A 26,341-nucleotide genomic window follows, 5' to 3' on the forward strand; every position below is an offset into this window, starting at 1 on the left:
ACTTGGCAAGATATCTTTTTTAAAAAAATAAAGTAATGGATAATCATAGTTCAAACTCATTTGTTTTTCTGTATGTATACATACAGGTAAACATTTTCACAAGTACGCTTAAAAATAGTAGAAGAGTTTAAAGATTTGCCCCAATGGGCTCATCTCTCCCTTTTCCAGTTTGGTGCTCCATCTCAGAAAAAGAGAGTCACATTTTGAGACAGATGTAGCTCTTTCTACAGATTTTTCCAGAGCAAGAAAATTGGGATCTCACACATCTGCAGTACTTATTTTATCTTCTCATCTCCCTTTATTCAACCAGAAAGGTTCCCCGCCCCCCCAGTAATACCCTTTTAGAATTATCATGTAGCTTGATGCTATGGCCATAATGGGTTTTGTCTTGTTTTGTTTAATCACAGATGTAAAAATAAAAAGAAATGCTTATATTTATTAGAGTTAATACAAGTAATTGTCCCAAAGTAGTCCCAAATTAATTTTTACTCCCCTATTCTCATATGAGAAAATATACTGACAGTGGCTCAGTACCTGCTTGCTTTGCTTGTCTTACTGGCAATAATACCAGATGTATTTTATTTAATTGAATAGCTGTGTTCCTGAGTGAGTAAATGATACTATTCTAAGGTGATCTATTTACATACACTAGAGCTTGCAGTTTATGACAACTGTTAGTTTATTATTTCAAAGACTATACTGTGTTGCAAAGAAATATTTTATTCAGATTTTCATATATTCAGTTTTGTCTGTTTGTTTGTTTGTTTTGAGACAAAGTCTTTCTCTGTTGCCCAGGCTGGAGTGCAGTGGTGTGATCTCAGCTCACTGCAACCTCCACCTCACGGGTTCAAGCCATTCTCCTGCCTCAGCCTCCCAAGTAGTTGGGATTGCGGGCATATGCCACCGTGCCCGGCTATTTTTTTTTTTTTTTTTTTTTTTTTTTTTTTTTTTTTTTTTAGTAAAGACAAGGTTTCACCAAGTTGGCCAGGCTGGCCTTGAACTCCTTACTTCAGGTGATCCGCCTGACTCGGCCTTCCAAGGGGCTGGGATTATAGGCGTAAGCCACTGTGCCCGGCCTTGTCTGGTTTTTTAATAGTAGGCCTACGTATGCCATTAGTCAACTTTCTGTGAGTTTGAACTACCAACTTGGTGGATGTTTTTCTTTTTTTATTTGCTTTTTTTCTTTGAATTATTTTTACTATCATTAGAGAATGTGCAAGGTTACTTAGTAGAGAATGAGCTCATCTCTGCTTCTTCAGCTATTTTTAGAATCTGATTTTTTTTAAAAGTGGTTGGAGGAAAGAAATGAAACTGCATTCAACTAGACTGAACTTGGTCACCATTATCATGGGGATTGGTGAGGTTTTCTCTTTGTTGATGTCTTCAGTTTTCAACAAAATTGCTTCTTTGGAAGTTTTTGCTTTTTCTCCTAAACTGGTTATATAGGAATGTAGTAGGTACAGGTCATTCCATTATATAAATCTGTGTTTATAAATGATTTACTTAGCTGTTCCAGCCTGTTAGTTAAATATGTATTTAAGGCCTGTTTTTTCAAAAAAAAAATGTATATATAGAAAAAAAAATAGAAGCTCACAGAATGGATACTGAGTTGCTGAAAATTAGTCATTTGAATTTAAATCTTTTCAGGAGTTTTTGCATTAGGAATTTACACCATATACTCACTCTGAAACCATGGCATAAAAAGTATAATTAGTCACATCTATTAAAACAGTGAAAGAAAATATTTGGTAATTTTCTATTAGCCAATAAGTTACTTTGCATAAGGCAATTGTGAATACTCTTTCTCTTCCTAATCTTAATATGTACACAACTATACATTCAATATTTCTTTCAAGAAAACCAAATCCTACAACCCCAGAAAGAGATTCTAATTTGGTTGTTCTCCATTTCTCTTTATATCATTTATAAAGCACGCAAAACAATTTCTGGCCTCTGATTTTTGAAAACCATAAAATCATTTCACCACTTAAGCCCAAACTTTCTAAATCAAATTTTTACTCTAAGAACAAATACTTTCACCATTTATAAACCTTTCAAATTAAGGTTTTGAGTAGAGCTTTCCAGACAGCCTCCGGAAACCATACCCCATAGCAACACATGTCCCTAAAGCACATTATATTATGTGGTGCTCTACCATAGATGCCCAGTATTTGCCACAGAAGGAACAGAACTTGTCTTACCCCATGAGTAGGCCAATTGGTCAGTGGAGGAGTGACAGGTGAGCAGTCAGTGAGGTGCTGGAGGAGGGTGGATGTGGGGGGTGTGAAGGTTTAGGAGTAGAAAAAACTCACACTCGGGGCTCTGGGTTGCTGGGTGCTTTCTTTGCAGCCCTGGTTTGTGAAGTGATTTATGGGCCATACATCACCTTCCTGGTTGGCTTTGTTGACACCTTGTCACATTCTTGCTTGGGCTTGAGGAATTCATTGTTCTTGTTTGAACTGATAAGAACAAAAACAAAAATGAAGAAAGAAAAAAGAAAGGTTTTCTCACTGAGACCTTGGGAAAAGCTAAGGGGGTGGAATGTTGACGTGGAGCGGCAGGCTGCACTTTCCCAAGCAATGCAGCCCTGCGTCTGCTGGCTGCTGCAGCAGCAGGGAAGCTTTGCCTTTAGGAGTTCTGGCAGAAGCTTTATTTGCCCTGTGGAAGTAGTTTCCTGGCTTGGAGCTGTTCCTTTTTGCTAGAATGGTACTGTGCAGAGAGGCCTTAGGAGGGGTCAAGGAGAGAGGTTTTCCTTTGAGAACTGGGAGACATAATGGCTGAGAGGAGATTCCAATGGGAGGTAAAATGACCCCGGTCACTGGGAGAATGTAAAACACACGGTGACTTGATGTGAGCTGGTCTCTCCAAAGTTCATCCCGCTGTACAGCATGCATTTTGGGCATGGTGCCATGCTGACCTTTCCCCTTTAATGTGTAGTGCCCCATGCTTCACTTAGTATTTTGGCAGCCTGCACACAGAGGCTAGCATTTGAGCCCAGTGCTTTGAAGAGAGCAAAAAAGTTTCAGAATGAGAACTCTTCAAGTCACTGGTTATACATAGGGTATTATCTCCCACGTCAATGGAGCAATGGATGACCTGCCTGGTTTTTTTTTTAGGCCTCTTCCCTTTTGTCTTTGCTTCAAAAAAAAAATTAATAGATTAAATTATTTGTCATCCAAGAGAAGTAAACAGGTCAGATCCTATGTTCCATATCATGGGATTGTAAACGCTCATATTTCCTTTTGTGAAAATTTTTTCTTTAAGAGCAGCCAAGCATGAACATACTGCATTCACTAATATTCTCTGTCATCATGCTACTGTTGATTGAAAGGAGAAGAACCTACTTGCACCCCAGCCAAGGGTGAGGTGTCCTGGGGAGTGTTCACACTTTTGTGTTATACTGTTAACAAGTTCATGTGTAATGTAATAATAAATCATTTTACCTGGAAGCGCCATTCACACATCCCCACTATGAACCCCATTTTGAACTGGAGCCATAGAAAACTGTTTTTAAGCTTCTTAAAATGGTTCTCTGCAACAACGTTTCTTGTAGAATGAGGATGCATAAACTTGTTATAACATACTTGACTTTCCAAGTGGTCCCTGTAAACAAGGGATGCTTGAAGAACTGCCAAGCTAGGTAGCCAGAGATTGGGATTGAAGAGCTGACATTGTTCTAACACTGAATGCAAATGGAAATGACCTAATACATGTGTAATAGTAAAGCTAATAAACGTGTAACTGTATAGCAATTGCAGGATTAAAATAAGAAGCAAATTTTGGAAAGCGCACACTTTTTCTTTTGGGTCATCTACCTTGCTATGAAGTGATATTTTGAATAACATTTAAATATCTAAATATGTGTATTGCCATTAATATTGACATCAAAGTTTCAACACATATCTGTTTTAAAAAATCTACAAGCCCAGTTTCCCCAGTTTCTTTATAACTCTGATGAGCCTGCTAGTTCTGCCTTTGCTTTTTTCCCAACTTGGAATCTACTCTGGTTTCCAGAATTAGGTTTATTGACAGTGTTTCACTGCTCTCTGCTGGAGAAGCCCAAAGCCAAGCCAGGCATCTAAGGCTCTAATGACTTGCAAGGAATGCAGGTGAGATGGCTCAGCTGATAAACTCCCGGCCTCTGAAATTAAACTCAACACAAGACTTATTCATACTAGTCGAAGATCACAGTTTACAAGCTATGCTGTACAGGCTAGAAATGGGTTTCTCAGAGAGTAGTATAGGTAAGATAGAAAGTGTAATACTGCCTAAGCTCCAATTTCTTGCTTCGAATGTTGTCCTTTGTAAAGATATCCTATATAATGTTGCACAGAAACTGTGCAGTTTCTCAAGTCAATTTTCATCCTTCCATTTTTGACACATAGGTATAAACTTAATTCTGGTATGTACATCTGAGACAGTAATCAACCATTCCCCTGAAAGAAAAAAAATAAAGACTTTTTTTTATTTTTGAGACAGTGTCTAGCTCTGTCGCCCAGGCGGGAGTGCAGTGGCATGATCACGGCTCACTGCTGCCTTGATTTCCCAGGCTCTGGTGGTCCTCCCTTCTCAGCCTCCCAAGTAGCTGGGACTACAGGCATGTGCCACCATACCAGCTATTTTTTTTTTTTTTTTGGTAGTGATGGGGCTTCGCCATGTTGCCCAGGCTGGTCTCGAATTCCTGGGCTCAAGCAATCCACCCACCTTGGCCCCCGCAAAGTGCTGGGATTACAGGTGTGAGCCACCATGCCTGGCAATAAAGCACTTTTAACTAAAATATATCAAATTTGAAACAAACTATATATAAAGTTTTTTTCTTCTAAACTTCATATTTAGTAAGTGCATGGCCAGAAAAAAGAGAACAAGAGTATGTACCAAGTAAGCAAAAGTGTGTTATGACATTTTTTTCCTGAAACTTTTCTAGGTAGGAATAAACATTAATTTACATCTTCATTTGCATGAACACAAAACTCTACTATAATCTAGATGCTATACTTCTCAAATTTAAAACAAAAGTACAAAAACAAAAACAGTAAACACTTTAGGTGAATGTTGTGTTAAATGTCTATATTGAGCGTATATGTACACATATATTTATGCATATGTGGATGTGTGTTTATACATATATTCTATGTATATATCCTTGGGTGGGAACAGGGTGCAAAGATCTAAGCATAACATATCTCCACAGGGATTTATGTTCTTTTCAGTCTGGTATCTTTTAACTTAAAAACAACTCGATGAATAGAAATCATAAAAGCCATCCTTACAACAGCATTAAAGTGCTATTCTATTCTGCAGCATTCCAAGTGAATTATTGCTGTGCTGTCAAAGAAAACAAAAACATTTGAGAAGGACTGTTTATTTTACAGTGGTTGACCAAAAGTATGCAAGTGGTTATAAAAAAATGTAGACAGCTAACGATGGGAGGTGCCACTTGCACATTCTGAAATCCATTCACAAACCTTTGACACTAACTCTTGATCACTGGAGATAATATTAGAAGCAAAGCATTTTTCACGGGGAAAATCCTAGCACTTTGAAAGCATTTCAGGTCAAAGCAAATAAATAAAACCTCTATCCCTCATCCTGTATCACTGGCATCTCCTCACTCACAGAACCTAATGGCATGATTGTTTTTTCCCAAGAAGAGCAAGAAAACTTTGCAAAAATATTTCTCTCAGAGGTTATGGCAATGAAGGATTTTTGTGCCATGAAACACGTGTTGCCCTTTGTATTTAAAGATTAAAATAAAAACTGCTGTTGACAATGTTAATAGATTCTTTCATTAAACAAATATTTCATTTTAGAGCTATATGGGAAATTAGAGACCTCAAACACAGTCCCTGTATATTAAAGATAACAAAATGTATACTTAGGGAAGATAAATGACTTGCTTAAGGTCACACAGCAGGTAGCATGGAAGGATGAGTTAGAAGTACTAGTTCAGTGTTTGTATTTGTATGTTTTGCCTCAGAATCAGACAATGTACAGTTAAGACCTCATCGATATCTCCCGGTAAATGCTTATTTAATGTTTAAGAATTTTCACTGGTAAAGAGATTCTTATTCCAGGAGTCTAGGTCTTGGGGTTTAGGTTTCTTTTACTTAAAAAAAAAATTCCTCTGATAAGTGAGGATTCATTTAACTTTCTGGTGGATCATTAGGTACCTTTCAAGAAATGAGAATAATCATAACTGGCTCTATTTATCTTAGCATGGGTTGAAAGATATGAAAAGTTCCTTGATATGACTGGCACGATTCTATCCCATAAAACCACTCGTAAATATCAGTTGAAATAATGCCTGTAGGGAAAATTTTCAAATGTCCTTTCTGTCAATGCAGAAATGCCAGTGCAGCTTGTTTTCTGGGTGGCATGTAAGTTGTAGACAGGCACCACATTTTAGACATATTATGGTGGTGCGGTGAATTGACAGGCAGTTTACCACCATTTCCATGTATTAGATTATGTGTACCTCTGGCTATCCTGACACTTTGCCCCCAAAGTGGAGATAGTGAAAGAGAAGGAGAGAGGGAGAAGAACTCCTCGCATCTGTGCCCCTACCTCAGCAGCTCCTCCTCCTTGTCTCTGAGGGTCTCCAGAGTTTGAGAGTTTGGTGTCATGTTGGCCCAAGAGACTGTTGTCCTTTTGACAGCTCGGCTGTTTGTATCTCCAGAATGAAACATAATCAGATTTTTTTCAGATGTAGCATCTGCCTTCCCTCCAACATCCTTGGGTTAATCACGTGCTTGCTGGCCAGGATATGTAAATAAGACTTGGCTAAAAAAAACCCTTAAAGGATTATGAAGCAATCTTGCTTAATAGTAGCAGAACAAAACAAAACAAAAAACCACTCCAACAAATCCTCCTGTGTGCTACCAAGTAATGGAAAGATCCAGTTATGACTGGAACTGTCCTGGCCTGAGTATTGTCCTGGACCCAGAGGGAGCGAAGGAGGGAGGGAGGGAGGGAGGGAGAAAGAGAGAGAGAGAGGGGAGAAATATGAGAGGAGGAGAGAAATTGCTGAAGGAGAGCTTCACTCACTGACTCCGCACACATTCCCTCCCAGTGGTTGCTAATGAAGAGCCCGTGCTGGTGAAGGAAGCCTGCTGATCCCGGAACTGGCCTTGCGCGCAAGTGGTGGGATGACAGACACATTCCCTTCCTTGAACTGCACTCTTTTCCCTTGCACTCAGAGGTGGCCCGAGAGAGCCCCGGTAGGTCCCGGAGTATGTTTCCATGCTGCAGAAGGCATGGAGAGATTCCAATTGCGGGGGTTCCTCCGTAGCCTTTGCAGCTGAACGTCTCCATCTCCTGTCCCTGGGCGGTCAGTCGCTGGCATGGCTCTGTGGAGTTTTACCTCCCAGTTGTCTATCACCAAAGCTGTCCACCTTGTCCGGAGGGGAATGAGCGTGGAAACCCCTGGCGGCTGTACTGACAAAAGCAACCTTAGTCAATGACAGAGCTGGGCAGGCGGCGAGGTCTTGCGGGCTGGCCTTTCTGCTGCTGGTAGGAGGATCATGTGCTGCTATTTCGGAGGCTCCTGCCAGTTGGCCCCTGCCCACCTTTTCTGTTCATACTGAAGCAGCCAGGAACTGAGAGAAAGAGGAAGCCTCGGCTGTGCTCCGGGCTGCGCTGCCAGGGTTGCGTCTGTAGCAGGTCCAGCAGCAAAAACAAAACAGGGCAGAGCCCAGGGAGGCCCCAGCCACAGCAGCTGAGTGTGGAAACAAAGCAGCCCGCCCGCCCTGGGAAGCTGCCGCAGGCTGTGGAAGGGAACTTCTAGAGAGGCTGCATCCTCTCCAAGCCGGGAAACTGAGGCCTAGAAGACATGTGACGTATCTGAGCAGTGACCAAGCCAGGAGTAGAAATGTCTCCTGAGGGCCTGTCCCCACTGCTGTTTGGTTTTAATCGCTCAGCTCTTAATAGTGTAACCCTGGACAAGTGACTTACTCTCCCCAGCCTCCATCTCATCTGTAAAATGGGGATGAGAAAATACCTCTAAGGGTTGTTGTGACAATTAAATGAGAAAGCATAAACAAAGCACTTGGCACAATGCCTGGCCACTTAATGGGCCCTCAGTAAATGTTGGCTAGTTATGTGAACCAGAACTTGAGATGGAAGTGAAGCAGAAACGATAGGGAGTTGTTCAAAAATACCTGATCTGCTAGGGAAATATTTTTTAAAACAAGGCTGCTTTTCACAAGGAGGGGTAGGCACACTTGAATTAAGATCAGATTGATTATATGTTTTTGTTCAGCTTTGATGTTGAATTGTTTAATCAAATGGCAGACTCTGCCCCGCTTCCAGGAAGAGCTCAACTCCAACTAGGAGGAAGCAGGTAATGTGAGCCATGGCATCTTCCCCGTTTAGATTTCCTGACTCTTTGTTTATCTTCTTTGTCAATGTGCGTCTGAACCTTCCCAACAGAGTTTAAAATGTTCAACTTCAAAGCTAAATTCTGATGGAAAACACTTCCTAAGAGGCTGAAGGCTTACTCTAGGGGTGAAAGAAGAGGAAAGGCGATGGATCACACCACATTTGTGGAAAATGTTAATGCTATGTGATCTTGCCTCCTTAGACCCAGATAGATGCAAAGGATAAGGAACTCGGTTTATAGCAACAGATACTCCAAAAGTGCTTTGCATCCTGTTCTGACACTAACTGGTTGTGAATCACTTGTTAAAGATAAGGATAACAACAATACCATTTCTTGAGCCCTTACTGGGTGTCTGGTATTGTGCAAAGTACTGTCTATATATTACCTCAGTTTCCACAACAACCTTATGAAATATTTCTTCCTTTTGTGATGAGGAAAGTGAGACTTAGAGAGAAGTTAAATAACTTGTTCAAGATCACTCAGCTAATAAATGCTCCTATGCACTTAGTCACTGTGCTATGTCCTGCTTACCCCTTAATGTTGACCTTAATCCTAACTTGAATTTAGGTTAATGTCTATGCACTGCTTTTTTTTCACCTGCAAATCAAGGGCTGTACTAACAGTTTTGCTAAGGCCACTTCTTTGAAAATTGTAAATATTTCCAGAAAGAGGCACAGTTTACAATAAACATTCTTGCTTTCCAAATAAATTCTCCCCTATTAAAATCAATGTACCAGTTGTTATTTTCATACCTATGCATTGTTTAAGATAGAGAGTTCAGGACACAATTGAAAACTGGGAAAAATAATCTCGTGGTTCGGTTTGTTAGTTTGAGACGCAGTCTCACTCTGTCGCCCAGGCTAGAGTACGGTGGCCCAATCTCAGCTCACTGCAACCTCCAACCTCCCAGGTTCAAGCAATTCTCTTGCCTCAGCCTCCCGGGTAACTGGGATTACAGGCGCGCACCACCACGCCCAGCTAATTTTTGTGTTTTTAGTAGAGATGAGATTTTGCCATGTTGGCCAGGTTGGTCTTGAACTCCTGACCTCAAGTGATCCACCCACCTCGGCCTCCCAAAGTGCTGGGATTACAGGTGTGAGCCACCGTATCTGGCTCTCATATTTTTTATATACAGATTGAATATCCCTAATTTGAAAACCTGAAATCTGAAATCTTCCAAAATCCAAAACTTTTTGAGCAGTTACATGATATTTGAATGAACTGCTCATAAGAACATTTTGGATTTCAGATTTCCAGATTAGAGATGCTGAAGAGGTAAGTATAAGACAAATATTCCAAAATCTGAAGAAAATCAGAAATGCAAAACAGTTCTGGTCTCAAGCATTTCAGACACTCAGCCTGTATTTGCATGCTCATGGCTGTTGGGAAAAATTAACATATTCACCAAATTGTGCCTGGTCAATTGATAATGACTGATCAATATTAATGCACAAGTATATCTACTTTTGCTGTCAAGGGCAAAATTTAAACTTTACTTGCACTAGTCTTTATCTCTAAGGAAACTTGTACATTTATGCATGTAATTTGGTATCCTCAAGGTAAAAAGTCCAAATAGCATTATTTACTAAGTGAAATTTCTCTATTAAGATTTTTCATATCCTAATGGAATTATGCTTCTAAATTCTCAATATTTATTAGTATTGTTGAAATTTTGTGAATTAGATTCATCTGGATTAATATGTACTAGAATCATTACCTGTATGAACTTGGACGCGTTTCTTAATCTATCTGGGCCTTAGTTGCCTCAGCTGCAAATTGGGAATGAAAATGGTATCATCATATTATAATGGTTGTTGAGAATATTAAATGAGCTAATTATGTAAAGTGCTTCAAATTGCGCCTGGCACATAGTGCTATATGTGTTAATTAATTGTATTAATCACTTGTGACTTCCAATTGATTCTATTTTAATTGATATTCTATAATATAATTTGCTTCCTTCATCTCTCATGTATACAAATTAAATTTGTATAGAAAGTCTTCTCTTCTAAGAAATTTTCATTCTTGTACTTCACCCTCTCTTTAGCTCTGTAGTAAGTAGTTTCTGTTTATTTATTCCTTAGAACTTTATCTAGAGAAGCTTTTGATATTAAGCTGTGACATATAACAGATGAAATTACAGTCATTGAATTTATTTTCTCTGAATTACAGATTATTTTAGGTAGAATTTATCTTCCTTTTTTTTCTGGTGCCCAAGTCTTAGAGAAACATGTTTTCAGCCCTGATCATGATAAATAGTGGGTTTTTTAAATGACATCACGAGATACATATTTCTCAGATACAAAGGATTGTTGTTATGTTCTTTTGGCCAGAAGACACTCGTCTTCCTGGGAAATGTAGCCACAAAATGCTGGGTTTTAGTTTTATTAATATCCTTGTAGATTAAAAACAAAATGTTTTCCCTCTAAGTTTTTGTTCTTTTCCATTTGGCAAACCCGGTGATTTGCCACATGAGCCAATGTGTGTCTCATTTGCTTATTTTCTTGTGCACTAGCAGCCCTGGTGATAGCATCTGGAATGTGTGCAGTCCCTGGGAACAAATAACATGTTGGAAAATGGTTTACTTGGTGGCAGCAGGATCGCTCATGCACCTGACAGCACATGCCACGTATCTCAAGCCATTTGCCTTTGGTAAAAGTAGTTTTAAGATAGGCTGCCTCTCCCCAAATTTTTGTCCAAATAATAACAACAATGATAAGAAAAGATTTTTATAACCAATGACTTTGAGAGTCAGATTTTCAAAATTATTTTAATATTTGAGCTGATGATATCAACTATGCCATGAAATTTTGTTTTGTTTTGAGGGAAATTACTCAGTTAAATGGGGAGGAACCCTTAGTTCCGGGAACTGCCCACCCCTTTCCTGGAAAACACATGAATAAGCCACCCCCTTGTTTAGCATATAATCAAGAAATAACTTTAGGTATCCTTAGTCCAGCAGCCCAAGCTGCTGCTCTGCCTATGGAGTAGCCATTCTTGTATTCCTTTACTTTCCTAATAAACTTACTTTCACTTACAAAAAAATTACTAGGTTAAACTGAATCAAGAAAAAGATCAGACTTTGAAAACTTGGTTTACATATATATTATATATGTTGGTTTATTTTCACCATTCTTAAAAACTGTTCATTGACTAAATGATACACAGATTTAAGAGGTTAAGAGACTGAGTGGAATTTAGACCAGACTGTTCTTAAGCTGCTTTCAAGCTCACATTTCACTTAAGGGTAGGGACTCCCTGTCACCCTTAGTCCCTGTTTCCTCCTCGCGGGGAGCTTCTTTCTTTTTCTCTCTTTTTTTTTTTTTTGAGACCGAGTCTCCCTCTATCGCCCAGGCTGGAGTGCAGTGGCGCAATCTCTGCTCACTGCAACCTCTACCTCCCAGGTTCAAGCGATTCTCCTGCCTCAGCCTCCTGAGTAGCTGGGACTACAGGCGTCCTCCCCATGCCCGGCTAATATTTGTAGTTTTGGTAGAGATGGAGTTTCACCATATTGGCCAGGCTGGTCTCGAACTCCTGACCATGTGATCTGCCCGTCTCGGCCTCCCAAAGTGCTGGGATTACAGGCATGAGACACAACGCCCGGCGGGGAGCTTCTTTTGATTCATCATTCTTGCAGGGAATTACTGAGAAGGACGTGAGCTAAAAGACAACACAGAGGTGTTCGAGGAAGGAGGTGTGAATCCAACCAGGCCAGACCATTGACTTCCAGAGAAATTTCCAGACAAAGCTTCTCAACCCACCAGCCAAGACCCAACCCACAGCGGTCACTTTCACTCTATCTTATCTTGAACATACTCTTGCTTTTTCAAGGCACAGTCTATAGAATTCCACATTTTCTGTTTTATTCATTGCCTTCCTCAGTTTCCCTTAATAAGTAAGCAAGACTTGAACTACAGGTTATGAAATTCTTGGGATTAATGACTGAGCTAATTTAGAAAGAAATGCATGTTCCCCATGGCTCAAAAATATAGAAAGCCAATTACCTAACTCCTATCTATTTGACAATTTAAATGATGCGTTTTCTATAAAGAGTTCATTACACAAACGCTGACTCCCCCCCTCATAAAATGGATGATATTTTAGTGAGGCGTTTCAAAGACAAAAGAGTTTGATGACTTGGTTTAAGGCCAGTTCAATGAAGGCAATGAAAACCTTATCTTGGCTATTCTTTTTCAAGCTGGCATTCCAATGAGTCACCATATGGAAGAGGATTAAGGAAAATATTTTATACTTAGGCTAGGCACAGTGCTTCATCCCTGTAATCCCAGCACTTTGGGAGGCTGAGATGGGTCGATCACCTGAGGTCAGGAGTTCAAAACCAGCCTGGCAACATGGCAAAACCCCGTCTCTACTAAAAATATGAAAATTAGCCTGGTGTGGTGGCGTGTACCATAATCCCAGTACTTTGGGAGGCTGAGGCCGGTGGATCACTTGAGGTCAGGAGTTCGAGACCAGCCTGGCCAACACAGTGAAACTCCATCTCTACTAAAAATATACAAAAATTGGCTGGGCATGGTGGTGCGAGCCTGTAGTCCCAGCAACTCAGGAGGCTGAGGCAGGAGAATCACTTGAACCCAGGAGGCAGAGATTGCAGTGAGCCGAGATCACGCCTTTGCACTCCATCTCAAAAAGAAAAAAAATTTACAGTTAGGATTTGTAAAATTTTAAAAATCTTAAAGAACAATAGTTAAATCTTACCTTCTATAATTAAAATAATTAAATATTAAGGATTCTTTGGAGTTGCGTCATTAGGAGCTTTACAGTAAGATATCTTACTAGCCAATATTAGCCTGCCACAGGCAAATTAAAAAAAAAAAAAAGCAATGACAACAACATTTGAGTTTGTTAATCTAATTGCCCCTTCCTTGCCATCACTCCAAGGCATTAATGTGTCTTTTAGATGATTGCATTAAGTTTTCTATTAGAATTTCCTCTCCATCTCTCTCATACACACACACTCACACACACAGACACACACAAACCCCCTAGCCATTGGTGTTCCTGAGGTTATGAATCCCCTTTCCATAGCGGTTTGGGAACATAGGATATAGTTTATGAGTTAGGGAGGCACAAATATGTTCTTAAAAGGAAACCTTCAAACCGACTGAGTGCAGTGGCACACACCTGTAATCCCAGCACTTTAGGAGGCCGAGGCGGGTGGATCACTTGAGGTCAGGAGTTTGAGACCAGCCTGGCCAACACGGTGAAACCCTGTCTCTACTAAAAATATAAAAGTTAGCCGGGCGCAGTGGTGTGCGCCTATGATCCCAGCTACTCGGAGGCTGAGGCACGAGAATTGCTTGAACCCGGTAGGTGGAGGTTGCAGCTAGCCAAGATGGCGCCACTGCACTCCAGCCTGGGCGGCAGAGTGAGACTCAGTCCCCCCCAAAAAAAGAAAGAAAAGAAAAGAAACCTTAGAATAAAACTACCTTTGACTCATAGACTCATTCATCCAATAGGAATAGAGTGCCCGTGGTGTGCTCTTTTTTTTTTTTTTTTTTTTTTTTTTTGAGACAGAGTCTCACTCTGTCGCCCAGGCTGGAGTGCAGTGGCGCGATCTCTGCTCACTGCAAGCTCCGCCTCCCGGGTTCATGCCATTCTCCTGCCTCAGCCTCCTGAGTAGCTGGGACTACAGGCGCCCGCCACCACGCCCGGCTAACTTTTTGTATTTTTAGTAGAGACGGGGTTTCACCGTGTTAGCCAGGATGGTCTCGACCTCCTGACCTCGTGATCCGCCCGCCTCGGCCTTCCAAAGTGCTGGGATTACAGGTGTGAGCCACGGCGCCCGGCCCCGTGGTGTGCTAACTCTTATGACAATGATGACATAGGGACCCAGGGACCACCCTCCCGTTAGAGATGCACCATGCTCAGCCCGTCTAACTTCGAGCCTGCTCTTTCCACCAATAATCAGCTGCCTTCTGTGTCCACACTAGGAGGAAGGATATATGCTTGATATCTTGTTTTATTATACTGTTGAATTTCATCATCACCCTACTCTTACCCACAAAAAATACCCAAAGTCTTAAATGTTTCTTAAAAGAAATATTAGTTGTGCCCATTTTAATCTCCTGAACTTTATGACCCTTGTCCAATGTTCAACTAGACATTTAAGATTTCTTTCATTTGGCTTTTGGTAAGACTCATTTTTGGAATTAATACAGGATCACTGTTTGTTCTCCTCAAGTCCCAGAAAAGAAAAAGGGACTTTTTCCTACAAATCAAACTTCAGCATACCACGAGCTGCCAGTGTTATTTGCTATTTGTTCCTTGTCTTTTCCAACAAAGTGACCTTAGCACTGAATCAGGAATGCTTAGATGTAGATGTGCACAGAGGACCCTTTGTAGTAAATATATTGTAAATACATATCTAATAGGTAAATATACGTGTATATGTATATATACCCACAGATTTTTAAAAAGTGAATATTCTAGAGAGTTTCCATTCCAAGAATGCTCATTGAAAACACAGTACACAAAAGGCCAACAAGGAATAGGATAGAATATTCCAGCTTTGCAGAATGGTGAGTGAATTGGGCTTTGACTTTAAAGAGGTATGTAGGTGAGGAGTTGCTGACAAACCTGTTTGAAAGTGGTTTATGTCATGGGAAAGTACGTATCAGGGCTGTTGCGAGGATTATCTTCTTTCTTTCTCACAGCAACTCAGTGCGGTAGACTCTGTTATCATCCTCATTTCACTGATGAACAAACCAAGGCACAATGAGGTAAAGGCATCTGCTGTAGGACTCAATAGCTGATGAATGAAAGAGCCAGGCAGGGCAGACTGGCTTCAGAATTGTACTGTTTTGCTTCCTATTTCTCCCTACATCCTAGCCCCACTCACATGGAAATCACTCTGAAAAATTCTTCTGTCTTATTCCCTAAAGACAGTCCAGCCATCTTCCTCCTAATTCTTACCCACTTGTATTTCTTCTATAATTGCTACAAAATGGTCCTATACAACAACAACATCGTCAACTCACAGAGTAGAAAAAAAGCAAAGAACCTTACAAATTCCTCTGGGCTAATTTTATCAGCAAAACACTCAGCAAAATGAGAGTTGCCCAAGTCCTGAAAATCATTATGCCACAAAGTTAGTGGTTACCAAGTTCAGCCCACTATTTAAGTATAGTCATTTAAATAGGCCACTATTTAAAACATTGTGTTATCCTCATATACTCAACTCAATAGTACAGAGACCATGTTTTATGTCTCTTTGCACGTCCAGCCCTTAGCACAGCACCTGAGGCATATTCCTCAACAATTTATGCTTGTTGGATGAATGATGGACTGAATAAATTAATAGGTGTTAGCTTTTAGTTTTTTCAAAATCATGCTTACTTATTCATTAATATATTCTTGTGATTTGATCAATGCAAAGAAGAGCAAGATCATCATCTAGCATTATCCTGAATACTATTTAATATATTTCTATAACGTTGCCTAAGGTATATATCTTTTGTTTTGTTGTTTTGGAAGCTATACTACACAATTGACTCAAGCAAGCTACATATACCATGAAAATCAGCATTGTTCTCCCTCACAACCCCCATGCACACGTACTCAGCTTTCAGATAGACCTGAACTCCATGAAAGGGAAGTCCTTCTTGGATTAAGCTGAGATTGAGAGGACTATTTTACCGCTTCTTCAGTATATTCTTTTTTTTTTTTTTTGAGATGGAGTCTCACTCTGTCACCCAGGCTGAAGTGCAGGGGCGCGATCTTGGCTCACTGCAACCTCTGCCTCCCAGTACAAGCGATTCTCCTGCCTCAGCCTCCTGAGTAGCTGGGATCCCTGGTGTGCATCACCGTGCCCGGCTTTTTTTGCATTTTTTGTAGAGACGGGGTTTCACTGTGTCACCATGTTGGCCAGGCTGATCTCGAACTCCTGACCTCAAGTGATCTGCCTGCCTCGGCCTCCCAAAGTGCTGGGATTATAGGCATGAGCCATAGCGCCCAGCCGACTTCTTCAATATATTCGTATATGTGAATTGAGCCTTCCATTTCTTCCTTTACCTCCTCTTTCATCCATTGGAACCAGTTGACTTTTTAATGTAAAGTATAGAAACTCAGCCGCTCTGACCCTGTTTTGATTCCAAACCCTTGTACCTACCAGACCATTTAGGAAGACTGGGATAAATAAGCATTATAACTCCAGGGAGCTTTCTGATTTCATGATCCATTTCTGTTTCTTAGGGGCCAGACAGTGCTAGGCTTACAGGAGACTCAAAATCTGTAGTTAACCACAGCAATAAATGAACACAAAGGAAATGCAGATGTAAGTAGGGGATAAACTTTGAGTGGTTCCATCAGTAGTGATTCATGATGTTGAACTACAATAATATTTTCCTCCACACACTCTCCCAGTTCCCATTGTGACACTGGAGCAGCATTTAGGGAAGACAGTTAGGCTTGGGGGTGCGTTCTGTGGTCATGGCTGTGGAAGATTGGTCCTACGGCTGTTAATCTGGCTGACAAATGTTTCATCAACATGCATTGTTGAAAGTGACATGATGCACAGTGCTGGTTAAGAGTCGCGTAAATAATAAAATGCCCAAGATGGGAGAAGAGCAGTTTTCCTGGCTTCTCCAAGTTTGAGCTGCAGAATCAGAAGCAGTAGAATAGAGAGAGAAGAGACAGGACACTAGCTTGGGTTCCAGCCCCAACTCTGCTGCCCTGTGCTGCGTGGCTGCAGCAAGTGACTTATCTAATAACTGTGGGTCTCAGTTTCCTCACTCATAGTATTAATGATCATTTCTCAGGAGTATTAAATAAGAGCATGAGTTTAAAGAGCCCAGTCCCGTGCCCAGCACAACGGAGGCTACCCTCCAAAGGTCAGTCCCTTTTTCTGTGTGTTTCATCCTCTCTTGGCAGCCTGTTTGCTGCATCTCTCAGCTGACTTTTGTCCCTTCCTGCTCACTTAGTCAATTCAGAGATTACAGTTTGTACAATAATGCGCTGCCTTGTCTTCTCGCTGGTGAATCTGGACCGGAGTGCTCTGCCTCTGCGCCGACACTCACTCTGATGGTCTTGGCTGGAGGACAGAGGCTGCTGGCAAAAACCTAAGAGGGAACATACCGTGGTAGCAGCATGAAAGAATTTGGCAAGGAGGTGCTCGTCACATGATTGTGATTCATACTGTACTCTCAAAATGTGGCAGGAGGGCTAGGAGAGACTTTTAATGCCAGCACACAGAGCAGAGACACTCATTTTCAAACATCACATTCTTTTTATAGTACAGGCATGCCTCACAGGGAAAATATTGAACTTGGCCTGCCAGCACCACGAGAGTCGTCCCAACTGTGATTTTATTGCTTGAGTCACTCCCTGAATCAGATACTGGCTGCACGGAGGAAGTCTTCTATTAGGGATGCTTTGAAATTGTGTTTTTAATTAATTAACACCAACTCTGGACAGGTTTTTCATTTACTCCTAGCTGACTCTTTTTTGTCTTTTCTTTTTTTGCCTGAAACTTGTTAGACATTTTTGTAAGGTCTCAGTTGGATCGCTTTTAAGTATCCTGGTGAAAGAGTCATCTGTGTTGGGTGACCAAAGCGAGGGGACCCTTCAAAGTAGAGTTTGTCATCTCCGAGAGAATCTGATCCATGGGAATGGGGTCGTCAGGAAAACGGTCCCTAAAAGTCTGGCATAGCACTTTTTGATGCCTTCAGCCGTCCTCAATCCATTCATCCTGTTGTTAAAACTTAAAACTAGAGCTGGCCAGCTGTTGAGAAAAGTCCTCAGTTTTATTTCAACCAAATGATGCTGCCTCCTGGGGCTGGAAGGGGGCTGACTTCAAGCACAATTATAAATGTGTAGCTCTTTCAAGCGGCGGAAACCTACAAAATGGCCTTGATTCACAGGGCCCCTCTGGCTCAAAGACTCTCTGCTTCCCGTGTGTCATAAATCTGTATCTGCATCAAAAAGTGTAAAGACGGCAGTGTATGGAAGTCCCTCTTCCTCTGCGAGTGTGTCTATGACAGATTTATACTGATGGCTACACTGCACCCCGGTCACAGGCTCCTATTATAGTCATGCCCCACTGACTCAGCCCCCATTTCCTGTGGAAGGGGAGACAAGGTCCTGCATGAAGGAGGGTGAAATTACAGCTCAACTCTCGAATTGCTGTTAGTACAGGAGGACCTTTAAGGGCTGCAGCAAGACCCATTTTGTTCATAGCAACATCTACTGTCTCCTCACCCCAGTGTGGTCACAGCTAAAACCTAAGGCATTTAGTTTCATGACAAGATATGCCATGACAGGGTACTCCAGAATTCAACAAGGCCAAATGGATACATGCGAAAAGAACAAACCACCTCATTTGTTATAATTTTTGTTTCTTCAAAGTGGTTTTCTTTTTCTTCCTGAGGGTACAAGTTTCAAATGTGGAAATTTTTTAAGGTAGCATTTGAATCCACCTCTCTATTAGTATTTGCAAATGGATGCAGAACAGGACTGGTTTTTGAAACCACCTCCTTGTTAGAGATTTTTCATCCTTTGCAAACATTGTAGGGTTTCAGAGGTAGCGGCTGGTGAGAACCCTCTTGTGTTTGACTGCAGCCTTCGAGGTTTAGAGCTGTCCTGCATTTCAGGGGGTGAATGGCTACTGGTAAAGAGGTCAAAATGAGCTTTATTCCAAGAGTTAAGCAATGAAGTTGCAAAGTTTAATTGGTGTAATTTTGGGAGATAAGGATGGAAAGGGAAGGATGTTAGGATAGTTTGAATCCTCTAAGAGGAGAAAAGGCAAAACTGATATTTGACTTTCCCACTGTATTTAGAGTATAGCCTTCATGGGGTAGCTGTTTCTTCTTGTGTTTGGTATGGCTCAGAGCACTTGAAAATGTCACTGGCTGAAGAAGAGTGCTTGTGATGATATTTTTTAATTCACTTTTTTTGTAGACTTTAGTACTATAAAGAAATGATACATAGAGGGGAGTAAAAACTTGTCTAGCTAACAATTGGTATTATAATGGTTTTGAATGCACAGTTCTGATTAAATTTTATACATTTCTTCCGTTGGCCAACTTATCGTGAGCCTGGTTGTATGCCTCTGGTGTTTGTATGATATTCACTGCATTTTTTTCTAACGTGTTAAGGATTCTATTTTAAATAGAAAATCAGATTGCAGTTTGAAAAACTTAGTTTTAAAACTCTACCATCTGCTAGATTTGTGGAAGAGGATCTGGTAAATGAAAATTGTGTGTGTATGTGTGTGGTTTATTTTATAGGCACTGCATATTTCTTTGATGATCTATTTTCCAAGCTCATTCTTATCTTTTAGAAGATGTTTCAAGGATTTATGCATCTGGCAAGATTTCAGAGAACTCTATAGTGGTGGAGATGTACACTCCATTTATAGGGAATCCTGAATCAGGGTCATTGAGAGCATTTATTTTGTTTTGCGCTTAAATTTATTTCTGCTCTGGACATTTCTTTCAAATGGATCATTTTTACATGGTCAAATCTAAGCATTTTATTCATAAGAACTCTAATAATAAAGCTTTTTCAGTCCAGACATAGGTGGAAATTTGCAAAATGCATCAGGAAAGTATGGCAATTGCTTTTCAAGCCATCTTGTATTTGAGAAAGTATTGCATTCATTAGTGTTTGCAAAACTACCTTTAATGGTGCAAAAGTAAAGCTGACCTCTCCCTTTTGGTGCACAGATGTATAAACTTTATGGAAGTACACCCCAAGGTAGAGACTTATTGGAGTAACTCTTAGAAAGGGCAAAGTTGGCCATAAACAGTGATGCAATAACCCCACAATTATGTATGCTCAATTATTTGGAAGGGAAGTCTGGGAGAAGTGTTTTATATGATTACATGGGCAAATAAGAAGTGAGTGTGGAGAAGCACGGTCCAAAGGTTTGCATTTGTTGTGTATATCCCAAATAGCACCCTAATACAGCTTTATAATGTAAATCCACCGGTACCAGTAAAACAGCATTTAAAACAAATTGTAAAATGAACAACATTTGCAAAGCAATAAAGAAACCACCTTTGCAATCACTTTACTACAGTTTTGAAAAATGTTAGTGAATAGCTCTCCAAAGATGCAAGTAAATAATATTTTATTAGATTTCAGCCTAGGAGAAAGGGGAGGAAAACCTTCAACTAGAATTACATGATTATTGCTTTGCTCCTCCCTCAACCCAGCAAACATTAAAATGGAACATAAAGCAAGTCTATAACAAGATTTATGAGGAAAGGTATTACACTTAGGGGCACATTGTGCAGAAAAGTCATTAAAATTGTTTGGGCCTTAAGAAGGGGAAAAAAAAAACCTTTTGAGAAAAATGAGAAACTCAGATGTATCAAAATGCCTTCCTTATGATTACCTGAGGCTTTAGGTTTTTAAAAGCCTTTGTACCTAAAGGTTCTGATTCATTCTCTATTGTGGCAACTTTTTCCTACCAGACAAAACTGAAAGATTTTGTTTCTCTAGGAAACATACTTAAAGAAGTATAGTAGACCTGGCATTCCTTTTGCATGCTCTGGTAGACCCCGGCTCTTGTATAATAAAAACAATATAGGCATGTTATATTTGCCATATGTTAGTTAGGGGGTTTCAGCAAACAAATACCTCCTTGTGCACAGAAGTAGATGAAAGCAAAGCTTACTGATGTCTACTATGCCTTAACTTACCTTCTTTGTCCTACATAGTCTGCCTAGCAGACTTCTTTCTGGTTGGTTGTATGCATATTTGGATAATGGTGATAGCTCAGCATATTCTTTATGCTTTGTTCCGCTCTGAGGACAGCTAGTACACTCGATTCAGTATTATATGCTTTCCTATTTCCTTGCCTGATGCTTCTGTGTTATGCTAAATCTCAGTTTATTCTGTCAGTAAAGTTGAGGAGAGTGAGTGAGGAGTGCGTTTGCATGTGTGTGTTTTCTTATCTGTAAAGTTTTAACTTTGGCTTACTGTTTAACCAGGAAACTCAGCAGGACAAAGGAGATCTAAATAAAACTATATTCCTGTTGAGAATCTCCAAGGTTATGCAATACTATAAAATGGTGGTTTGAGTAGAAGTTCTGTAGTTCATCCTTATCAGACTAATGGTTTTGGGGTTTTTGAAAAGGAATGTTTCAAGGAGGTCTTTGAAAACCATTTTCTTCAAATGTTCATTGCATCTGAGATCCCATTTTTGTCCCTTTATTTGCTCCAGAATACCGCCCAACTGCCAACAAAGAAGGGCTTGTGCTCCCAGGAATTTTCTGCATTCCTCTCTGGAGTAGGCATTTTTCTCAGCTACAAAGGCCCTTTGGCGAATTCCCTCTAATCATTGGATTTGCCCTGGGCTCTGATAGGTGCCATTCATGGACTTGGTCTGCTGTTTGATGGGGCTGAGGCATTAATGGGATCTTTTCATGATAAACAAAACTGGGTAACATTACCAGAGGGATCACAAAGCTGCTGTTGTAGGGGGAGTGTGGTGCTTTCTCTCTCTTTCTCTTTCTCTCTCTCTGCTTTTTCCTTCTTCCTCCTCTTCTCCCTGTTCTTTTTATGAACGCACATTTGTGTGCGTGTGCAGCATGGCCATTTCTAGAAGCAGATCTTCTGACCTTTGCTGCTACTCGTAAGTCAATGGCCAATGGCAAGGCCTTTGTTGAACATAAGATGATTCTATATACTGATCTGATCTACAGTAGCTTCACAGCCTGCGGGGAGGTCTGTGTTTTCTTAATTGATTAAACGTTGGAAGAATACTGCATGAAGAATCTGATTTTGAGATCTTTCTTACATGCTGGCATTTAATTACTGAAAGTATCTGGTAGTTGAGATGAATGAGTCTGGGGGAATAAATACTTAACACAAGAATTCAACTTCATGTGGCTGCTGTGGTGGTATATCCCTGGCTGTGTTATCAATGCCAGACTGAATGGGGTAACTCGTCACTGTTGTTGTATCCTATTTGCTTCTCAAAAGAATGCAAAAATGGTTAGTTGAAACCTGATTCCTGCAATAGTGAAGAAGTGAAATTAGAATTATTTTAGGTGATGAACACTATTTTTTTAAAGTTTTTATTTTTGTGGGTATGTAGGTGTGCATATTTGTGGTGTATGTGAGAGATTTTGATGCGGGCATACAATGCTTAATAATCACATCAGGGTAAATGAGGTATTCATCACCTCAAGCATTTATCCTTTGTGTTGCAAACAATTCAGTTACACTCTTAGTTATTTTTTAATGTACACTTAAATTATTATTGACCATAGTCACCCTGTGGCATAACACTGTTTTTTTGATGAAAAGAAACTGACAGTACAAACTAGAGAACTTGTGATCATATTAACGGCATTATTTTTAAGTTTCTGAGAAAATTAAGGAAAAAGTTTCTTATTTTAAATGGAAATCTCTGATGTAATTTGGAAATAAATAGTACATTAGGCATCCTGATAGAGGTAATTCTACTTACTTGCCATGCATTTTCTTATGTTCCATCTGAATACTGGGGCTTAGGCAAAAGGACAAAAAGGAGTGGTCAGGGAGAGCACAGAGTGAGCAAGCATGCAGAGCAGCGATTTAAAAGTCAAAAGGAATGTTAGGTTAAGGGAGGATGGGTGAAAAGCAATGCTTATTATTTGTCCTAAAGCAAGAAGAAAGGCCGGGCGTGGTGGCTCACGCCTGTAATCCCAGCACTGTGGGAGGCCAAGGCAGGCAGATCACCTGAGGTCAGGTGTTTGAGACCACCCTGGCCAACGTGGTAAAACCCTGTCTCTACTAAAATTACAAAAATTGACTGGGCATGGTGGCACGCCCCTGTTGTAATCCCAGCTACTTGAGAGGCTGAGGCAGGAGAAATCACTTGAACCCGGGATGTGGAGGTTGCGGTGAGCTGAGATCGCGCCATTGCACTCCAGCCTGGATGACAAGAGCAAAACTCCATCTCAAAAAAAAAAAAAAAAGTTAAATGATTCATCCATCGGAAGGGATAGCACAGTGCCCTCGTGTTTCCACCAGCCACTGATGCTAATTCTTCATTTTAATTTTGCCTTGACTTCCTGGCTAAGTGTATGTATTTTAATATGAGTTTCAGCCTCCAACTAAATAACAAACAGGACACCAGGCTTCTGTCTAGCCAAGGTGTCGTGATGCTGTTTAACAGCCCCCAAATCCCTACCTCAATACATTTTAAAATATCCAGGTGCTGTAAGTCGGATGGGAAAAAGTTTGAGGAGAGAAAGTCATTACCTTCGGTAGAGCAGCACTTTATTCATTTTTTTTTTCAGGTTTTGCTTTTTGATTAATGCTTTTTGTTATCATCTGTTCAGTATAACATATTGTAAATCATAAACTCAGGGTTCAGATCTTTCAGAGACTTTTGCAACTTGAAAGGTGGAGCTTCCCAGCCTCAAGGAAATCTGCAGTGGCTAGTGTTTCCCACAGGGCCCCATTACCCAGTCCTGGAAAGGTGCTAACGAGGCATCTTTTTTTTTCCCAGTGAAGAAAACATCATGCATTTTAAAATATCGGTGTTATCTGATATTCACATGTTTCAAACATATGGTTATAGTACATATTCAACAGCCCTTAAGGGCTTAAATATCCTTTGTATGTACTATAATCCTGGTGGTAGCCACTATACAATGAGCACCTACTATGTCCAGCGCATGATTCACATTATCCTTAATCCTCCTAGCCTCCCTGCCAAATCATGTTACGATTATTCCCATTTTAAAGATGAGGAGGCCGGGCGCAGTGGCTCACGCCTTTAATCCCAGCACTTTGGGAGGCCGAGGCAGGCAGGTCACAAGGTCAGGAGATCGAGACCATCCTGGATAACACAGTGAAACTCCGTCTCTACTAAAAATACAAAAAATTAGCCGGGCGTGGTGGCGGGCGCCTGTAATCCCAGCTACTCGAGAGGCTGAGGCAGGAGAATGGCATGAACCCGGGAGGCTGAGCTTGCAGTAAGCGGAGATCGTGCCACGGCACTCCAGCCTGGGCAACAGAGCGAGACTCCGTCTCAAAAAAAAAAAAAAAAAAAAAAAAAAAAAGATGAGGAAACTGGGGCTTAGGGAGGTTCTGGTGTTAAAAGACAATGGAGTCAATTTCCAACGATGCCTAGCAAGTGGCACTGACTGTGTTCATCCTATTTTGCCTTCTGGTCAGTTTATAACTCGTGCTTCCGAACAGATGAAAACTTAAAAGTTTAGTTGAATATCCAAATGTTTCCAAATATCCTTATATTTCATAGCTTGTAGTTTATGACACATTTGGGAGCAAGTCCTTTCCAATGTTTATTTATTCTCTATAGTACCTACATTTAACTTTTTTCTCCCATAATGACTTCCGATCCTACTTCTCCCTGATTCAGTATTCACTCCATTACTTCACTGGCTCTCTTCCTTATTATCTGTCACAGGACACACGCACTTTGGAAAAATCTGCCTTGTGATATGATAATTGCAGGATGTTTTCTGAATTGCAGAAGGCTGGAGTAGAGGGGGATGAGGGTTTGAATCAAGTTTATCTCTGGATGAGAGGAATTTTGGCCTGGGAAAGGAACTGGAAACGTTCTGACCAGCTTTCCGAATGCTGGTTAAGGAAAAGCCTAACTCACTCTAGACTGTGCTCTGCATTCTAGACATTTTATCATGGTCTGCACCCTTCAGGATCTTATATTCTGAGGAAGAAAGTGATTATTTCCCAGGTTGTGTTATTTTTATGAAGATAATTGAAGCTCTTTTATCTCTGGATAGTTTTCATTTTAATTTATAGATATCCCACTGCATCTTAGGAAAGCTGATATTTTTAGTTCCAAACTACTGGATCACATTTTACCTGCTGGCACTTTTGCTACCTGAGTAGTTTCCTGACACTTGGGGTTTTTCTACTATTCAAGTTAGACACTAAGGCAACTATGCAGGGAATTTAAGCAAATAATAAAATCAAAAGAGGAGGGAAACCTTTCGTCTCAATCATCTGAATATTTTGTACTTTTAAAATCTTTACGGATAGGGTAATATTTTAATACTTATAACGACTTCATTATTTTAGATTATCTTGTATATGTAATTTACATTACTCTTCTAACTGCTGTAAGCAAATTAGGTCATGTTTACTCTGTAGTCAGTGAAAACGATTTGTTCGAATTGAGGTCTCCTTGGATTATTTCAGTCATAGCTACATCTCTATTAGAGAGAAAGGCCACTAATTATCAGCCTCTCTGCATTCTCTAGGAGGGCCTTAATGCACTCTAAATTTGTACATGAAGATTTTGTTAAGAAAATACTAGATCTTACATGACTAAATGGCACGCTACTATTCCAAGGAGCTTGTTTTTAGTTTTACTTCTCCCCTGGACTCCTTTTCAGGGTGTTTTCAAGCAAGGTAGAATCTGTTCCTAGGTCACAGCATAGCTGAATGCCAGAGAGCAGAACTTAACCAGACCTAAATCTTGAACCTGGTTCAGGTAGAAACCAGACAAGTGTCATTAAGTTTTCCTCTTAGTAGCCACAGCAAGCTCACAGCAGCCTCTAGCCAAGGACCAAGTATATCAAAGGAGACTGACCAGCACTGTGGACTGCAGTGAATGCATAGAGCGGGGTATGGAGACCACAGGGACAATTTTATTTTTTCTTGTTCTCTAAAAGACCACTAGGAACAAAATGAGCCCAATTTTTGTAGTACAAGCGCTGGTAATTACTGAACACTCACTCAATTCGGTTAATAAAGCTAAATATACCCAAACAGGCCATTGTTTTGAAGGGAGATTTTGTGGTGTGCTGGAGGCACGTTGGAGCCAACTGTTACATTTTTAGAAAGTTTGAGAGCTGGTTGTTAAACATAGCCCTTACTAAAAATTAACATATATAAATGTATAATTAAATAAATTATGTTTAAAAACAGGCAATGTGTAAAGCTCATCATTTCCAAGTTATTCTTCTGGACTTTACTATTATTTATGCTCTTGATGTTATTTATGTTTGTTGTATC

General features: G+C 40.4%; 1 protein-coding gene and 1 long non-coding RNA gene across 7 annotated transcripts in view, besides 7 other annotated features; one reads left to right on the forward strand and one right to left on the reverse strand.

The window, feature by feature from the left end:
* Positions 1-7,652, reverse strand: part of HMGA2-AS1 (HMGA2 antisense RNA 1) — a 31,099-nt gene extending 23,447 nt beyond the window's left edge. For 2 of the 3 annotated variants that reach the window (NR_158985.1, NR_158984.1), the window contains exon 1: positions 7,045-7,652. This is a non-coding gene — a long non-coding RNA (HMGA2 antisense RNA 1). Of the gene's footprint in view, positions 1-2,201; positions 2,460-6,564; positions 6,906-7,044 lie in introns of those variants that run through there. The other variant, NR_120478.1, reaches the window with a different exon arrangement.
* The window catches only part of HMGA2 (high mobility group AT-hook 2), a 141,832-nt gene that overhangs the window by 50,214 nt on the left and 65,277 nt on the right, over positions 1-26,341 (forward strand). The window lies entirely within an intron of this gene.
* Positions 16,803-17,715: an enhancer, noted in NCBI's record as "NANOG-H3K4me1 hESC enhancer chr12:66285256-66286168 (GRCh37/hg19 assembly coordinates)". NCBI's record gives its function as "activates a minimal SCP1, AML or CMV promoter by ChIP-STARR-seq in naive H9 embryonic stem cells {active_cell/tissue: H9 hESC(naive)}" and the evidence as "EXISTENCE:reporter gene assay evidence [ECO:0000049][PMID:30033119]".
* Positions 17,356-17,650: an enhancer, noted in NCBI's record as "tiled region #11590; HepG2 Activating DNase matched - State 14:Gen5', and K562 Activating non-DNase unmatched - State 21:Repr". NCBI's record gives its function as "activates a minimal TATA promoter and a strong SV40 promoter by Sharpr-MPRA in HepG2 and K562 cells {active_cell/tissue: HepG2 | K562}" and the evidence as "EXISTENCE:reporter gene assay evidence [ECO:0000049][PMID:27701403]".
* Positions 21,400-22,167: an enhancer, noted in NCBI's record as "NANOG-H3K27ac hESC enhancer chr12:66289853-66290620 (GRCh37/hg19 assembly coordinates)". NCBI's record gives its function as "activates a minimal SCP1, AML or CMV promoter by ChIP-STARR-seq in naive and primed H9 embryonic stem cells {active_cell/tissue: H9 hESC(naive and primed)}" and the evidence as "EXISTENCE:reporter gene assay evidence [ECO:0000049][PMID:30033119]".
* Positions 21,400-22,935: a biological region, named in NCBI's record as "hESC enhancers GRCh37_chr12:66289853-66290620 and GRCh37_chr12:66290621-66291388".
* Positions 22,116-22,410: a silencer, noted in NCBI's record as "tiled region #8167; K562 Repressive non-DNase unmatched - State 22:ReprW". NCBI's record gives its function as "represses a minimal TATA promoter and a strong SV40 promoter by Sharpr-MPRA in K562 cells {active_cell/tissue: K562}" and the evidence as "EXISTENCE:reporter gene assay evidence [ECO:0000049][PMID:27701403]".
* Positions 22,168-22,935: an enhancer, noted in NCBI's record as "OCT4-NANOG-H3K27ac hESC enhancer chr12:66290621-66291388 (GRCh37/hg19 assembly coordinates)". NCBI's record gives its function as "activates a minimal SCP1, AML or CMV promoter by ChIP-STARR-seq in primed H9 embryonic stem cells {active_cell/tissue: H9 hESC(primed)}" and the evidence as "EXISTENCE:reporter gene assay evidence [ECO:0000049][PMID:30033119]".
* Positions 22,936-23,702: an enhancer, noted in NCBI's record as "OCT4-NANOG-H3K27ac hESC enhancer chr12:66291389-66292155 (GRCh37/hg19 assembly coordinates)". NCBI's record gives its function as "activates a minimal SCP1, AML or CMV promoter by ChIP-STARR-seq in primed H9 embryonic stem cells {active_cell/tissue: H9 hESC(primed)}" and the evidence as "EXISTENCE:reporter gene assay evidence [ECO:0000049][PMID:30033119]".

The sequence above is a fragment of the Homo sapiens genome, chromosome 12 (assembly GCF_000001405.40).
Source record: "Homo sapiens chromosome 12, GRCh38.p14 Primary Assembly".
Classification (NCBI taxonomy): Eukaryota; Metazoa; Chordata; class Mammalia; order Primates; family Hominidae; genus Homo; species Homo sapiens.